This window comes from Homo sapiens, chromosome 10 (assembly GCF_000001405.40).
Source record: "Homo sapiens chromosome 10, GRCh38.p14 Primary Assembly".
Taxonomy (NCBI): Eukaryota; Metazoa; Chordata; class Mammalia; order Primates; family Hominidae; genus Homo; species Homo sapiens.
In genome coordinates, this window is record NC_000010.11 from 120115304 (window position 1) to 120132944 (window position 17641).

Consider the following 17641-nt stretch of genomic DNA (forward strand, 5'->3'; position numbering starts at 1 on the left):
ACGCATGTATAGCTTATTCACATTGTTTGGTTGTTAGATAAACGGTAATGGTCTCTTGCAACTCTCTACTTAGTAACTAGAAGCAGAACTCTTCTTCATTATCTTTAAATACATAAAATAAATCCCCACCTTGACTTAAAATGTTTTGTCATCCATGTTTTATGCTTCCTTTTCTTGGCCTATTGAAATAGAAATGGTATTTTACAGCCAGATTAAGTTTCATCTCCTCCGTGAAGCCTGCCTAATCACTCAGTGTTGCTCTCACTTCTGAATTCTTTTAGTACTTAATATCTCTATAACTCCCTTGGTATTGATAACATAGCTGTGCATTTTTGGGTATTTTTGCCTGGATACATCCTGTCTCCCATCCAGCAAGTCCAAGTTTTGAAAAGTTGGGCATATTTACATCAACAGAATTTGTTGACTTATATATTCATTCATTTGGCCCCAAATGCAGAGGCACAGACCACAACTAAGAAGAAGCCAAGAAGAGCAGCTGAAGTTTAAGAGGACCAAAAAAGTTAGAAACTTTTCCTTTAAAAAAGGAAAATGAAAAATACCTATTTTATCATCAGTTGTTCCTGAGACCATAGCAAAAAGCAGAAAGGATTTATTAGTCAATCCTCAGTCACCTGGAGAGCGCAGAAAGCAATAAAGCAAGCAGCATGGTTCTGTGGAAAGCAAGCCCAGCCAAGTCTATTTCATTTTCTTGCTAGACAGTGGCTAGTCACAGAGGCACGGGATGAGATGGGCGTGATCTACCTGGAGTTGACAATGCTGTTTCCCTTTAATTCTTCGTGAGTCTAAATCAAGTGGTTCTGGCAGAGACCGAGAAGGAAAAGTCCCCACACTCTCAAGAAAATACTGCCAATTTTATAGCCATGGTAAGCAGTAAAAACCAGAAACGGCTGTAAATCAGTCAACAACAACTTGCTTCATTGAGCATATCTCCAAAAGCCAACCAATCAGTGCCAACCTTACGCTTTGAAAGTCAGTTAATTGGTGATGTACTTACTCCAGTGAGCACACTTCTAAGCTGATGCCAATCTGCTCCAGTGTCTGCAACCAGCACAAAAGGCACTTCTGAGGCTGACATTTTCCCACTCTTGCCCCTTCTCCCAAACTCTGTAGCAAATCTGCTCAAAGGGGTTTGTCTCAATGATCTCTTTGCTCACTTAAGTCTCGTATGACCAGCATGGCTCTCCCTTACTTAAGTAGGTAATAAATTCAATCTTTTAGTTTCAGCTTCTGAGTGATGGTCTCATTCATTGAGAATGATTTTGGTGGAATTCACAGATTAAAAATCATTTGAAGACCCTTGCTTGGTAGTATTCTATGGGTTCTTTGGGCTAACAGACATGTTTATTAGACCACCTGTGCCCCCATTTTATTTGTCCTTCTTTTGTGTTGCTGCCAGGTATGTCTGTCTCAACAAAGATTTGAGCTTCAACTTATTTCATGAGCTCTTATTGATGAGTTTATTTTGTTACCTTTTGTAACCAATCAATCTCTGACTTATTTTAGTAAACTTTGGTTGTTGAATTTATTTTGATATTCTGATTTGTGTCTTAGGATATATTTAAGGTCATTAGACCTATAATAACATATAAAGTAATTAAACCTTTTAGTTTATGGACACATAATTTGTTTTAAAAAGTGAGACTTAAGTATATATATAAAATCATTAGAGGCTTTGGTTTGTAGTTGCACTATTTGGTAAATTTTTTTGCCATTTACCTGCCTATCCTTCTTGTCTGTTGAACACATAAGGAGGTGCTCCTGAGAGAATAAGGTAGGTGCAGGCTGAATAAGCCTATCATCCATTCCAAAACAACTTCGAAGACTAGTGGTTGGAGGTCTGTTAGACTGTTGGCCAATTAATGTAAAGGTGATGGATCAAACTCTGTATTGGATCCCCTTTGAAATCTCCATAAAGACACTCTGTCAAGACTGTTGGAGATTGTTTTTGTTGAGTTCATCTTCTGGAGTCAACAGTTACCTGCATGATCCCTTCTTAGGTCTTTTCTCATTTGTCTATGTCAAAATTTCACTCTCCTCAAGAATAACTGTTTTCTATATGAAGTTGCACTGTAACCTTAACTTGGTAAATGATAAACATATTTTTGATTTAGAATAACAATGCCCATTGTGGGAAACTTCTGATATGTCAAAATGAATACATTTAAGAAGAACTCCAGGAAAATTAGGAAATAATAACATTCAAAACTTCAGTGGTTAACTTCTTTAAAATTGATAAGCCAAGGGGCCAGCAAAACAAAATGCTGACTTCAAGGTTATTTTCTTTCCAAAAAGTTCTAATTCACTAGTGTTCACACTATCCGAACTCACCTGCTTTGTACCTCCTTCTCTCTGAATTGTCTTCCCCATCCACTTTATTTTTTATTTTATGTTTATGTAAATTATATATATACACACACACATATATTTATTTCAATAGCTTTTGGGGTACAAGTGAGTTTTGGTTACATGGATGGACTGTGTAGTGGTGATGTCAGATTTTAGTGCACCCCTCACCCAAGTGGTGTACATTGTACCCATCCACTTTACATTCCTTCTCTTTCTTCTGTTCCTTCCCCTGACCTCCAAAATGGATAATTCTTTCTTCAGAGTTTTCTCAGGAAAAGAACTATCACTTTATAAAATTGTTTGACCAAAAGACTGATATATGAAAATTGAATTTAAATCATTGTCTATAGCAGAGTTAAGCAGAGTGCAGCTATAATTAAAAAATTTTCCTCTTTCTTTGTAGAGACAGGTCTCACTATGTTGCCCAGGCTGGTCTTAAATTCCTGGCCTCAAGTGATTCTCCCGTCTTGACCTCCCAAAGTGCTGGGATTACAGGCATGAGCTACCACGCCTGGCCTAATTAAAGCTTTTTAAGCCTCAGAGAAACAGACAGAAATTTACTATAGAGTTCGACATTGTATTAGATACTTGTTGTTCTGGATGTTCAAATTTGTACCAACTAGTTTATTGGATTGACAACCCCCTCAGATGGGGAACATGGTTAAAAACCATGGGAAAGATGAAGAGAGAATGTAAATAACCCAGCTCTGTATAATTTAATGATCTCCTTGAGAGGATAAGCAAAACATGCAGTGCATTAAAAATTAACTCAAGATGGATTAAAGACTTAAATGTAAAACCTAAAATCATAAAAACCCTAGAAGAAAGCCTAGGCAATACCATTCGGGACATAGGCATGGACAAAGACTTCATGACTAAAACACCAAAAGCAATGTCAACAAAAGTCAAAACTGACAAGTGGGATCTAATTAAACTAAAGAGCTCCTGCACAGCAAAAGAAACTATCATCAGACTGAACAGGCAACCTACAGAATGGGAGAAAATTTTTGCAATCTACCTATCTGACAAAGGTCTAATATCCAGAATTTACAAGGAACTTAAACATATTTACAAGTAAAAAACAAACAACCCCATCAAAAAGTGGGCAAAGGATATAAACAGACACTTTTCAAAGAAGACATTTACATAGCCAACAAACATATGAAAAAAAGCTCAACATCACTGATCATCAGAGAAATACAAATCAAAACCACATTGATATACCATCTCATGCCAGTCAGAATGGCGATTATTCAAAATTCAGGAAACATTAGATGCTGGTGAGGCTGTGGAGAAACAGGAACGCTTTTACACTGTTGGTGGGAATGGAAATTAGTTCCACCATTGTGGAAGAGAATATGGCGATTCCTCAAGGATCTAAAACCAGAAATACCATTTGACTCAGCAGTCCCATTACTGTGCATATGCCCGAAGGAATATAAATCATTCTGCTATAAAGATACATACACGTGTATATTTATTGCAGCACTAGTTACCATAGCAAAGAAATGGACCAACCCAAATGCCCATCAATGATAGACTGGATAAAGAAAATGTGGTACATATACACAATGGAATACTATGCAGCCATAAAAAGGAATGAGATCATGTCCTTTGCAGGGATATGGATGAAGCTGGAAGCCATCATCCTCAGCAAACTAACACAGGAACAGAAAACCAAACACTGCATGTTTTCACTCATAAGTGAGGGCTGAACATTGAGAACACATGGACACAGATAGGGAGCAACAGACACTGGGGCCTTTTTGGGGTTGGGGGGTAAGGAGAGGAAACCTAGGGGACGGGTCAGTAGGAGTAGCAAACTACCATGGCACACATATACCTATATGACAAACCTGCACGTTCAGCCCACGTATCCTGTTTTTTTTTTTTTTTTTGAAGATATAAAGGAAGAAAACAAACACAGAAAAACAGGCAGTGTATTACTTTAGGCCATTGCAGAAATCTTTCCCATAGAGGATATGGGAGAAAGATTTAAAATGGTAAAGAAAATAAAGAATCAAGAGGAGACTTCAAACACAGACTCCAGGAAGCTTTCAGGCAGTATTCAAGCTAGATCTAGGAGCCCAAATAAAGAGAACCTTGTCCTCTCTTTTTGTAAATGTAAGGTTTAGACTTGATATAGAGGATTTGGTCATAAGTAAATAAATTGGAATGGAAAATTGCCAATCTAAAAGATCTCCTGCACATGGCAGGCTATCTTAGAAAATAAATAAGCTAGAAATGAAAATAAACTTCTGGATCTCTAGATATAAAAACTGACCCTTGAAATAAAAAAGGACAAAAACAAGAACCAAAAGTCTATGAATAAAGATACTTGTAGATATTTGCAAGCATCGGGGCCATGAGAGAACCAAGTTTCCATAACAGCAAAGTGTGCAATAACATTGTGTCTAAAAAACAATGTGCATACACTAATCAAAACATACTTTATTGCTTAAAAATGCAGACTCAGAGACACGAAGTGAGCATGTACTCTTGGAAAAATGGTGTGGATAAAGTTCCTCAACACAGTATTGCCACAAACCTTCAATGTGTAAAAACCACCATTGAGTGAAGTGTAATAAGACAAGGCATGCCTGGATACATCCAGTACCTGGGGAGCGGCTGGGGTATGAGTGCAAATAATGTGTATCACTCTCAGGCCTGGCCTATAAAATCTCATACTCAGGAACCTTCATGCTCACTCTCCTTTCTTGGTTTGATGAAGGTGAACACAGTGACCTTAGAAGACAAAAACCCAACATATGGTAGACCCATAAGATGAAAGAAGCCAAGGTCTTGTGCCAGTTTTGCTCCTTTGGGAAGCATATGCCAAGAAGGAGTTAGAAGTTCAGGGGATTTATGGGGGAAATGCCTCTGAAAGATCTAAGGGAAGGGGAAGATGAACAGGCATGGAGAGCCTTCAGGTGGGGCTGCAGGTCTGACACCTGTGAAAGAGAGGGTTCTGGAAGAAGATTGGGCAAGAAGTCTTATCTTCTAGTTTAGCACCCCATTTGGCAAGGAAGACGCAAACCCAAGAGGGATGTGGGGCACAGATAATCCTGGGCATAATGTGGCAGCTGAATTTCTGAAGATACCATCAGTGGTAACCCGGGAAAATGTCCTAGTGGAATGAACCAGTCCTCAAACCCCATATAATGGTTCTTTCTTGAGCCAATCCTAATACCCCTGTGTCAGTTCAGGTCTTCCAGGAGGCAGATGCCATGACAGAGTTAGAAGTGCAGGAGATTTATTGAGGGAAGTTCTTGGGAAGGGGAAAGTGTAGAGTGGGTAGGGGGACGCAAGGGGAACCTTCAGACAATGGTTCTTGGTTTCCTGAGGAAGGGAAGAGGGAAGGAAGGTGGGTTTGGTAGGAAGAGTCTCTGACTACAGTGCAGCTCTGAGAAAAATCTCAATGAGGGAAGCCCTTGGGCAAAGATCATGTCCCGGGCACAAGAGTCTGGTTCCAGAAGCTCTGCTGGGCTCAGTGATGGGCTGGGAGCCTCTTGGGGTAGTGTGGACTTGGTGTGAAAGCTGTGGTAGATTCCAGATGTGCAGCAAATAAAGGCTGTTAGCCCAGCACACTCCTCATGGCAGGTTTCCTCTTGTGGGGGATCTGAGTGGTGGCACCTCTGTGGCACCCCCAGTTTCTGAATTATAAGTTGGAGGATAGTTACCTACTGACCAGCAACACCCATTTTTAACTTAGGTAAGTAAGAGAGAGACTATTTCAAGGGACTGAGATTTGCTATATAGCAGTTAGTGCTGTCTAATCAATAGGAGATATTGCATTAGGCAGCCTCTACTATGGCTCCTGATGGCCTCTGCCTTCTGGTGTCCTGCCTTAGTGTGTGGGCTGGATCTAGACTCACTTATAATGAATAAAATATGGTAAAAGTGATGATATGTTACTTCTGAGATGAGGTTATATAAAGACTGTGATAGGCTGGGAGTGGTGGCTCATGCCTGTAATCCCAGCACTTTGGGAGGCTAAGGCGGGAGGAGAGCTTAAGTTTAGGAGTTTGAGACCAGCCTGGGTAACATAATGAGATCTCCCTCTCCACAAAACAAAACAAAAAATTAGCGAGGCATGGTGGTGCATGCTTGTCATCCAACCTACTTTGGAGGCTGAGGCAGGAGGATTGCTTGAACCTGGGAGGTCAAGGCTGCAGTGAGCCATGATTGTGCCACTGCACTTCAGCCTGGATGATACAGTGAGACCCTGTCTCAAACAAACAAAAACAAAAAGCTTGTAATGTTCTCTCTGTCTTCAATTCCTCCCACTAGGGGAGCAAGCAGCTGTGTTATGAACAGCCTTCTGGAGGGGCCCACATGGCAAGAAACTGTGATCTCCTGCCAACAGCCAATGAAGACCTTGGTCTGTCCAAAGCTGAGGGAGCACAGAAGTGGCTCTTCTGAGACCTACCAATAGCGATGTGAGTGATCATGGAATGCAATGCAATTAATGAATCAATATTGAATCTCTCTCCCTTGACCCTTGAGATGGCTTCAGTTCTGGCCAGCATTGTAGTTACATCATGAGAGACCTGAGGCCATCAGCCAGCTAAGCCCAGGTTCCTTACCCACAGAACCTATGAGATGATAAATGCATGTTGCTTTAAGATTCTAAGTTTTGGGGAAATTTATTATGTGGCAACAGATACAAATACAAGTATATAAATGTTATTCTGGTGAAACAGGTTCCTACTAAACCAATGTTCAGGAAAGTTAAGACAGAATCTGAGAACTGGATGAAGCCTCAGGAGCCATCTAAAGAGCCATCAGCTCCAGTGGTTCTCTTCTTGACCACACATTAGAATAACTCATGGAATTAAAACCGGTACTTGGGATCCACTCCAGACTATTAAACCAAAATCTCTGGAGAAGAGGCATGGTCATCAGTATTTCCAAAAACTTCTTAGGTGATTGAAATCAGGAGCCAGAAATTAGAACCATCAGGATCAAGCTAACTCTCAAGCTTTAGTAAAGAGTATATTTATCTGGGGAGTGGTTCATTTAAAACGTGGATTTCCAAGCCGGGTGCAGCGACTCACACCTGTAGTCCCAGCTACTTGGGAGGCGGAGGTGGGAGGATCATTTGGGTCCATGAGTTCATGTCTAGCCTGGGCAACATAGTGAGACCTCACCTCTAAAAACACAAGCAAGTCCCCAGAGATTCAGATTCAATAGTTCTGGGAGGAGCCAGGGAGTCTTCACATTCAGCCTTCTCTCCAGTGATTCTGGTCAAGGTGGCCTGTGAACTGCACTGAATGGTTCTGGGCTGGCTGCGAGGAGAGATACTGTGATGTAACCCAAGTTTGTGACAGAGTGTTGGCATTAAAATGGAAAGAAAGGCTCTGATTCAAGAAACAATGAAAAGGAGATGTCGACAGGGTTTGGCAATTGCCTGAGATGAGGGAAAGGAAGGAATCATTGGTGATTCTGCAAGTGTAAGCCCAGTGACTGGAGAGTGATGGAAAATGGCATTCTTCACAATATTAAGAGCACAGAAAAGACAATGCAGCAAAAAGACAATTACTCGCATGCTAGACATTGAGTCTGAGAGTGAAGGGCAAGCAAATAAGATGATCTGTTTTGTCTCTGGTACTAAGTGATGTAGGAACCAAAACTAGGATTGGAAAGCTGGGAAGCAGGGAAAATAAAATTAAAAATGACTTTTTAAAAAGGAGAAAGAATATCATCACCAATGTAGCTTGAAATTTGCTAAGGAGAACCTGGGGTTTGTGTAGAGTCAGATAAGTAAAACAAATGCACATTAGGGAAAGAGAGCTGGGAATGAAATAGGAAAGAAACCTCTGGAAATCTGGAAATAATCATAGTTACCCATAAAGCTTATATAAATAAAGGCATACTGTTATAGGAAGGACAAACTCTCTAAAATTGTTAGAAGGAGCCTCTAGAATGTAATTGCATTTTCTTACATTTTTACTTTAATTTTTTTGTTTGTTTGTTTGTTTTTTTTTTTTTGAGACAAAATCTCAATCTGCTGCCCAGGCTGGAGTGAAGTGGCCCAATCTTGGCTGACCGCAACCTCCACCTCCCAGGTTCAAGCGATTCTCCTGCCTCAGCCTCCCGAGTAGCTGGGACTACAGGTGCCTGCCCCCACGCCCAGCTAATTTTTGTATTTTCTGTAGAGATGGGGTTTCGCCAGGTTGGTCAGGCTGGTCTTGAGCTCCTGACCTCAGGTGATCCACCTGCCTCGGCCTCCCAAAGTGCTAGGGTTACAGACATGGGCCTGTGCCCAGGCTACTTTAATTTTTAAAATACATTTTTTTATTTTAGAATTTTTAGATTCACAGTAATATTGTGAAGAGCTATGGAGCGTTTCCACATGCTCGACACCCAGTTTCCTCTATTATTGACATCTTACTCTGGTACGATATGTTCTTTACAATTAATGAACCAATATTGATACACTGTTATTAGCTAACATCTATACTTTATTATTAGGTTGATGCAAAAGTAATTGCAGTTTTTGCCATTAAAAGTAATGCAAAAAACTGCAATTACTTTTGCTCCAACCTATAGATATCCTTAGTTTTTACTAACATCTTTTTCTGTTCCAGTATGGCATCCACATTCCATTTACTTGTTCTGACTCCACAGATTCTGCTTGGCTATGGCAGATTCTCAGACTCTTGATGTTTTTTTAATTGACCTTGGCAGTTTTGAAGAGTACCGGTCAGGTATTTTGTAGAATATCCCTCAATTGAGATTCGTCTGTTGTTTTTCCCATCACTAGACTGGGGTTATTGAGTTCTTTTTTTTTTGAGGTAGGGAGGACAATCACAGACGTGCCATTTTCAGCACGTCATATCCAAGGTACAAACTATCACGACATCACTGTTGATATTAACATTTGTTACTTGGTGCAGGTAGTGTTTGAGGTCTTCATTGTAAAGTTACTTTCTTTTTCTCTTTCCATACTATACTCTTTGGAAGCAAGTTGCTATAAGCAGTTCAAACTTAAGGAGAAGGGAGTTATGATTCACCGCTTGAGGGGAGTGTATCTATGTCAATTATGTAGAATTCTGCAGGGAGATTTGCCTCTTTGCTCTCATTTATTTATTTATATCAGTATGGACTCATGGATATTTATTTTAGCCTTTGATTATGATCCAATACTTTATTTATGTTGCTGATGTTGTTCCAGCTCTGGCCCATTGGGAGCTCCTTTACTTGGCTTCTGTGTCCCTTTGACATAACCTCATCATTGTGGTTTATTAAAAACAATTTTTTGTTAGCACTCCCTTACTTTATTACACTCAAGATGCTCCAAGCTCATCTTGTATATTTCCTACCCCAGTCCTAGCATCAGCCATTTATCCAAGGATCCCTGGATCCTTTTATTGGAGAATTGCATTAGAAACAAAGGTTCAGGAGCTAGGTATGCTCATTGCTGCTGGAGTGTAATTGCTTCCAGTCCCTCTCAGCTGACAGAGCTGCTTTAGCTGTGTCCCAGAGATTCTGGTACGTTGCCTCTTTGTTGTCATTGGTTTCAAAGAACTTCTTGATTTCTGCCTTAATTTAATTATTTACCCAGGAGTCATTCAGGAGCAGGTTGTTCAATTACTATGAGATTGTGTGGTTTTGAGTGAGTTTTTAAATCCTGAGTTCTAATTTGATTGCACTATGATCTGAGAGACTGTTTGTTATGATTTCAGTTCTTTCGCATTTGCTGAGGAGTGTTTTACTTCCAATTATTTCGTTGATTTTAGAATAAGTGCCATGTGGCACTGAGAAAAATGTATATACTGTTGATTTGGGGTAGAGAGTTCTGTAGACGTCTTCTAGGTCTGCTTGATCCAGAGCTGAGTTCAAGTCCTGAATATTCCTGTTAATTTTCTGTCTCATTGATTTGTCTAATACTGACAGTGGGGTGTTAAAGTCTCCCATTATTATTGTGTGGGAGTCTAGGTCTGTTTGTAGGTCTCTAAGAACTTGTTTTATGAACCTGGGAGCTCCTGTATTGGGTGCATATATATTTAGAAGTTAGCTCTTCTTGTTGAATTGTTCCCTTTACCATTATGTAGTAATGCCCTTCTTTGTCTTTTTTGATCTTTGTTGGTTTAAAGTCCATTTTCTCAGAGAGTAGGATTGCAACCCCTGCTTTTTTTTGCTTTCCATTTGCTTGGTAAATTTTCCTCCATCCTTTTATTTTGAGCATGTGTGTGTCTTTTCATGTAAGATGGGTCTCCTGAATATAGCACACCAATGGGTCTTGACTCCTTATCCAATTTGCCAGTCTGTGTCTTTTAATTGGGACATTTAGCCCACTTACATTGAAGGTTAGTATTGTTATGTGTGAATTTGGTCCTGTCATCATGCTGCTATTTGGTTATTTTGCACACTAGTTGATGCAGTTTCTTCATAGTGTCATTGGTCTTTATATTTTGGTGTGTTTTTGCAGTGGCTGGTACAGGTTTTTCCTTTCCATATTTAGTGCTTCTTTCAGGAGCTCTTGCAGGGCAGGCCTGGTGGTAACAAAATCCCTCAGCATTTACTTGCCTGGAAAGGATTTTATTTCTCCTTCGCTTGTGAAGCTCAGTTTGGCTGGATATGAAATTCTGAGTTGGAAATTCTTTTCTTTAAGAATGTTGAATATTGGCCCCCAATCTCTTCTCACTTGTAGAGTTTCTGCTGAGAGGTCCATTGTTAGTCTGATGGGCTTCCCTTTGTAGGTGACTTGGCCTTTCTCTCTGGCTGTCCTTAACATTTTTTCCTTCATTTCAACTTTGGAGAATCTGATGATTATGTGTCTTGGGGTTGATCTTCTTGTGGTGTACCTTAATGGTGTTTTCTGTATTTCCTGAATTTGCATATTGGCCTGTCTTGCTAGGTTGGGGAAGTTCTCCTGAATAATATCCTGCAGTGTGTTTTCCAGCTTGTCTCCATTCTCCTGTCTCCTTTGGTACTCCAATCAATTGTAGGTTCAATCTTTTTATGAAGCCCCATATTTCTTAGAGGCTTTGTCCATTCCTTTTCATCCTTTTCTCTCTATTCATGTCTGCATGTCTTATATCAGTAAGGTGGTCTTCAAACTCTGATATACTTTCTTCCGCTTGGTTGATTCGTCTGTTGATACTTGTGTATGCTTCACGAAGTTCTCGTGCTGTGTTTTTCAGCACCATCAGGTCATTTATGTTCCTCTCTAAGTGGGTTATTCTAGTTAGCAATTCCTCTAACCCTTTATCAAGGTTCTTAGCTTCTTTGCATTGGGTTAGAACATGCTCTTTTAGCTCATTGTAGTTTTTTATTGCCCATCTCCTGAAGACTACTTCTGTCAATTTGTCCATCTGATCCTCCACCCAGTTCTGTGCCCTTAATGGAGAGAAGTTGTGATCATTTGGAGGAGAAGAGGCACTCTGGCCTTTTGGGTTTTCAGCATTTTTTTGTTGATTCTTTCTCATCTTCATGAGTTTGTTGAGTTCCGGTCTTTGAGGCTACTGACCCTTGGATGACGTTTTTGTTGGGGGCCTTTTTTGTTGTTGTGGTTGATGCTGTTGTTGCTTTGTTTGTTTTTTTTCTTTCAATAGTCAGGTCCCTCTTCTGTAGGGCTGCTGCAGTTTGCAGGGGGTTCACTTCAGGCCCTATTCATCTGATTTGCTCCTGTGCCTGGAGATGTCACTCAAGGAGGCTAGAGAGCAGCAAAGATGGGTGCTTGCTCCCACTTGTGGGACTTCTGACCTCGAGGGGCACCAACCTGATGCCAGTAGGATTGCTCCTGTATAGGGTGTCTGACAACCCCTGTTGGAGGGTCTCACCCAGCTGGGTGGCACTGGGGGCAAGACCTGTTTAATGAAGCACTTTGTCCCTTGGTTGAGAGGGTGTGTTTTGCTGGGGGGAAATCTACTCATCTGGGCTGCCTGGATTCCTCAGAACTACCAGGAGGAAAGGCAAAGTCTGCTGGTCTGCGGAGACTGCGGCCACCCCTCCCGCTAGGGGCTCAGGCCTAGGGAGATCCAAATTTTGTCCTTGAGCCTCTGGCTGGAGTTATTGGAGTTCCTGCAAGGAAGCCATCCACTGAGGAAGGATGAGTCAGGGTTGGGCCTGAAGAGGCACTCTGGCCGCAGACTGCCACAGCTGGTGTGTTGGGCTAGGGGGGCAAGTCTTGGGACCAAGCTGTCCAGCCTCCCTGGCTCCAGCAGGGGAAAAATGCAGCCCGGAGCTACAGAAATAGGTGCCGCCCTTCCCCCGCTCAGGGAGCTTAGAGTGTTAGGCAGTTGCGAGTCTCAGTGCTGGCTGCTACCCCTCCGCCAAGGAGCTCAAAAGGCTTAGACAGCAGGCAGCTGTAGCGGGTGCTTGTTGCCCCTCCCCCGGGGAGTTTGGTAGGCTTAAGCAGATTCCATCTGAGAGGCTGTAAGAATCTGCGTGTTCCGGGGTTGGGACGCTAGGCCCCAGTGGCATGGGTTTGTGAGTGGGATCTTCCGATCCGCGGGTTGCACGGTTCCATGGAAAAAGCACAGATTCCCCGGCTGGGTAGCGCGCTCACTCACTGCCTCCCTTGGCTTGGGGGAGGTTCCCCTTCCCCATTTGGCTCTAACGAGGGCTGCTGCACCACACTGCTCTTCCTTCTCTCCCTGGGTCACGCCAGCCTTCTAGTCAATTTTGATGAGAGAACCTGGATACCTTGGTCGCATGCCTATTATGGTTTTTTTCTGATGGGAGCCTCTATAGTTGCTGCTTCTAGGCGGCCACCTTGGCCCCGCCCTTCCTGTGTATTTTGCGATTTTTACAAGTCTTTCAAAATAGGCTGAGTAGGGATTGATGTTTCTTCTCATATTACAGACAAAAAACAAAACAGGCCGGGCGCGCTGGCTTACGCCTGTAATCCCAGCACTGTGGGAGGCCTAGAAGGGCGGATCACGAGGTCAGGAGATCAAGACCATCCTGGCTAACATGGTGAAACCCAGTCTCTACTAAAAATACAAAAAATCAGCCGGGTGTGGTGGCGGGCGCCTGTAGTCCCAACCACTCAGGAGGCTGAGGCAGGAGAATGGCGTGAACCCGGGAGGCAGAGCTTGCAGTGAGCCGAGGTGGCGCCACTGCACTCCAGCCTGGGCGACAGAGCGAGACTCTGTCTCAAAAAAAAAAAAAAAAAAAAGAAAAAAACTAAAGAAAATAGCTACTTAGAAGAAGTCTTGTAGCATTTGGAGTATATCAATCTTTTTTTCTGGAAAAAACAAATACACCAGTTTTTTTTTTTTTTTTTTTTTTAAAGAGATGTAATAATTAACTCTTTCACTTAAAAATTTTGGATTTATTCTATTATTTCCCTTACATTTCATTGTTTACATCATATTTTTTCTTACACATATTTTATCTCCTCTTTCTTAGCCAGTTATTTCTTGCAATTAACTTTGCAATTTGGCCTCTTTTTACACACAGAAATCAATATTCTTCTATTTTTGTAGTTCTAATTTTGTGGGTTTTATTTATTATCTTTGCTTTATAACTCTTGTCATTGCCTTTGGCCAAAGGCAATAGCACTTTATAAATCTGAACAAATAAGACATTAATTACTAAAATGATCAATTGAATGTAATCTCAGGATATTTTTTAGAAAGCAAAATCAAGGTCTATAAGAGAAGAAGCAAGGAGCACATTCTTTATATTAAAGAAGCCATAACATTTTGTTCCCAGATGTGCCTTATGAATATACCATTTATGAATAGAAAGTAGAAAAATACCAAGGGTGGCCATTTTTGTTTGAGATTTGATACTGTTTGGAGCATCCAATGCAATCCTATTAGAGTTTAAGGATTATGCACTTTTACTATACAATAGAACTAGAGGAAAAATTATGATAAAGTCAATTAAGATATGAAAAGCTGTTTACTAAGCTCAATATTTTGGATAACTATAACTTTGTTACAGGTAATTTTAGAAAACAAGATGAAAGGCAACATAAGATTCCTGGACATTTTATGAAGCACAGTAAATTTTAACTTTTGGAAGCATATAATTTTGATTGTAACACACGGAAACCACCCAACGGTCTTGCCTAAGACCTAGGCCGTGCTTATGAGTTAATGTAAAACTTAATTACTAAAATTTCATGGGTCAATTGGATGTAATCTCAGGATGTTCTTTAGAAAGCGAATCAAGCTCTGTAAGAGAACAAGGAAGGAACACATTCTTTGTATTAAAGAAGCCATAACATTTTGATCCCAGATGTGCCTTAAGAACATAAGAACAGGATGAAGAAAAATAGCAATAGCAGCCAATTTTGTTTAAGTTCATGTAAAACTCAAAATTGCAGCCTACGTCTTAGGCAAGACTGTTGCCTAAGACTGTTGAATGGTTTCCAAGTGTTACAATCCTCTTTCTCTGGCTGAGACCCTAAAGGTCATGGTACTCTTTGTCTCTGTGATTGATTCAAGTGTCCATCTACAGATTTTCAGCTCAATGCCTTCTGGATTCTTGGTGGAAGATGCTGATTCATTCTCCTGAGTAATGAGTATATGAAAAGTATAAACAATTCCACATTCTCCAATGGAAAATGATCCCCCATATCCTTTAATGATGACAAATGCTGGGATAGTAGAGATGTCTAGACTATAATCTGTTCTAGGTATACCCAGTAGCTGTTACCTTTCAATGGCCATCCAGCAATAATGGTTATTTATTAATAATGGGATGCCTGTTCACATTCTATACCCCTGATATAACTCCAGTTAGAGCCATTTACATAAGGTCCCCTTTAAAGCATGGGATCAATATGGTTCCTATTCAGGAAGGCTTTGATTCCTGTTTCTTGGAGGTTCAGCATCAGGTCATCCTGCTCAGGGTTGAGGACTCTTGTCTTCCCCTGTGTGACTCCTGCTGGTATATTCAGGTCCAGTAACTTGGTTCTTGTCTTGCCTCATTATGTTTAGGTCTTTGACTTTGTTTCATGCCTGGTAGTTCTTTACAGCAGTGTTGTGTGCAACAGGATATAAAGTGCTTTTATATGCAGTGCATAATTTCATTAACTTATTATCCATCTAATTTTGAGTTTCAGGCACTATGTTAAGGAGGAGGAGTAAGGATATAAGTACAACAATCTCTTCTCTTAAGGAGTCGAGTTTGGGAGACAGACATCTAAACAGATGACTACACCATAATTCAGAAAGTATAGAACTTTAGTAGTAGCAATGAAAAATAATTCAGGCATATATCTTGATTATAATCATTATTACTAACATCCTCAATTTGCAGGTGAGAGAATTGAGACAGATTGAATACTTAAGGTTAAGTAGCTTATAAATATGAGAGCAGGAACTTGAACCCAGGGACTCTGACTTCAAAATCCCATTTCCTCTAAGATTGAGGTCCTACTCTTTTGATCTTCCCTCTCAGGGACAAAAACTCTCAATTCCAGTTTCTGGGGATGCTGAGGTTTCTGCTTCTAGACTGATGCTAACTAGGAACTTCTGCTTACTGCCAGGGTCTTTTGCCGCTGGGCTCCACCTCACTTACAAGACACCCCTACCTGCCCCTGGGATCTGATCAATGGATTGGCTTGGTTCTTCATTCTCCTGAAACCACAGAGATAATTGCCGGGCTTCTTGTGGGGTCCAGGGCGGCTCCCCAGTTTCCGCTCCCTTAGGGCCTCCCCTCTCTTATTCTAGAGCTCAGCTGCAGGCTTCCTAATAGTTGCTTTTTCAGCACTAGGTCCAGGGGACAGCTCCAAGCAGTTCCCCACTGAGATCCATTAGCATTAGCTTGGTGTTGAACACAGACCCAGCTAGAATCAGATAGATCTTCAAGGGCCTCTTGAATTGTACCAGGAAGTATCACTCTGTGTTTCATCTGAAACAGCTCTTTCAGGGTCCAGCCTGCACTACAATAGTCAATTTCACATTTTTTGGTTGTAAGAAACAAAAGTCAAGTTACTTAAGCACAAAGGACATACATTAGCTCACATAGCTTGTGAGTCTGGGAGTGCATCTGCCTTCAAGTCTGCTTGGCTCCAGAGGCTTCAATAATGCTACCAGAATTTATTCTTCTGCACCTTGGATGAGCTCTTCCACATGATGAATGAGGTGACTACCTACAACCCCGGACTCAGGCCCTGTTAGCTTAGAAAATCCCCAAAAGACACAATCTTTCCTGATAACACCAGCAGCAGTCCCAGGGAAGTCTTAGAAAAATCCAATTGCCCCAACTAAAGTCTATGTTCACCCTTGTGCTGAGGGTGGGTTGGAGGGGCTGTGTCAGAGTGGGATCCACACAGAAAGGAGGTACTTTAGATCATAAGAAGGAGGCAGTGGTCCTAGAGACAAAAATAGCAGGGGTACCCTGTAGTGGAATGCTTGCAATCCATAAGTGATCTGAGGACTATTCTGAGGTAGAACCATCATAACCCCCTCGTAGTTCCTGAAATCAGCTTTCCAGAAGACTCAACAAAGCTCCAGATTACAGATTACCCATTTCTTCACTGTCCCTCTTCCCCAGCAAATAGGTCCCAGGGATAGAATAGCCTGGGGTACCTAACCCCTCCCCCCAGGATTAATATGCAAATAAAATCATAGCATATAACCCCAGGATACATATATTTTTATTTTTATTTTTAAAATTTTTGTAGATGGGGTCTCACTCTGTCAACCAGGCTAGAATGCAGTGGTGCAATTGTAGCTCACTGCAGCCTCAAATTCCTGGGCTCAAGCTATCCTCCTGCCTTGGCCTCTCAAAGTGTTGGGATTATAGGTGTGAGAAACTGTGCCTGGCCCAGGTTACATTTGTAATCTCATCTCTAATATGCTTATAGTGTAGTCTATTCTATAATGGCTTCAGAGATTGTGACGTGAATGAATATTTTTTGAAGAAATAGCCCAAATGTGATAAAATGGGCACTTCACTTATTTTGCAAGAAAATACAATCCTGTCATTTACTTGATTTGTCTGTGAGGAATGACTTTGTGTTTCATTGTGCAAGACACTAATTTCACTTGGATTTTAAAATTCATGTGCTTTCCAACATTCATTTTGGAGAAGAACAAGTTTGCACTCTCTGCCAGCACTTTCTTTTCTCCATTGTTTATTATTAACTTGATGCTTTTATTTAAAGGAGACTCTGCCCAAACTGCTTCTCTGATTTAATTCAACATTGACAAATAAGAGTGAAGAGCACAGCAAGGGCCTAATGGTTCCTACCTGGTCAAGACCCATACTGGGAAAATGCAGCGGCTGGCAGATGTTTCTTTAGATTAATTAACCCCATTGCATAATATTAAAAACAGAATTATTAAGTCTCACATCTAGGGCC

The 17641-nt window shown here is 41.1% G+C and overlaps 1 annotated feature.

Moving 5' to 3' along the window:
• Positions 11883–12862: an enhancer, noted in NCBI's record as "NANOG-H3K27ac-H3K4me1 hESC enhancer chr10:121886698-121887677 (GRCh37/hg19 assembly coordinates)". NCBI's record gives its function as "activates a minimal SCP1, AML or CMV promoter by ChIP-STARR-seq in primed H9 embryonic stem cells {active_cell/tissue: H9 hESC(primed)}" and the evidence as "EXISTENCE:reporter gene assay evidence [ECO:0000049][PMID:30033119]".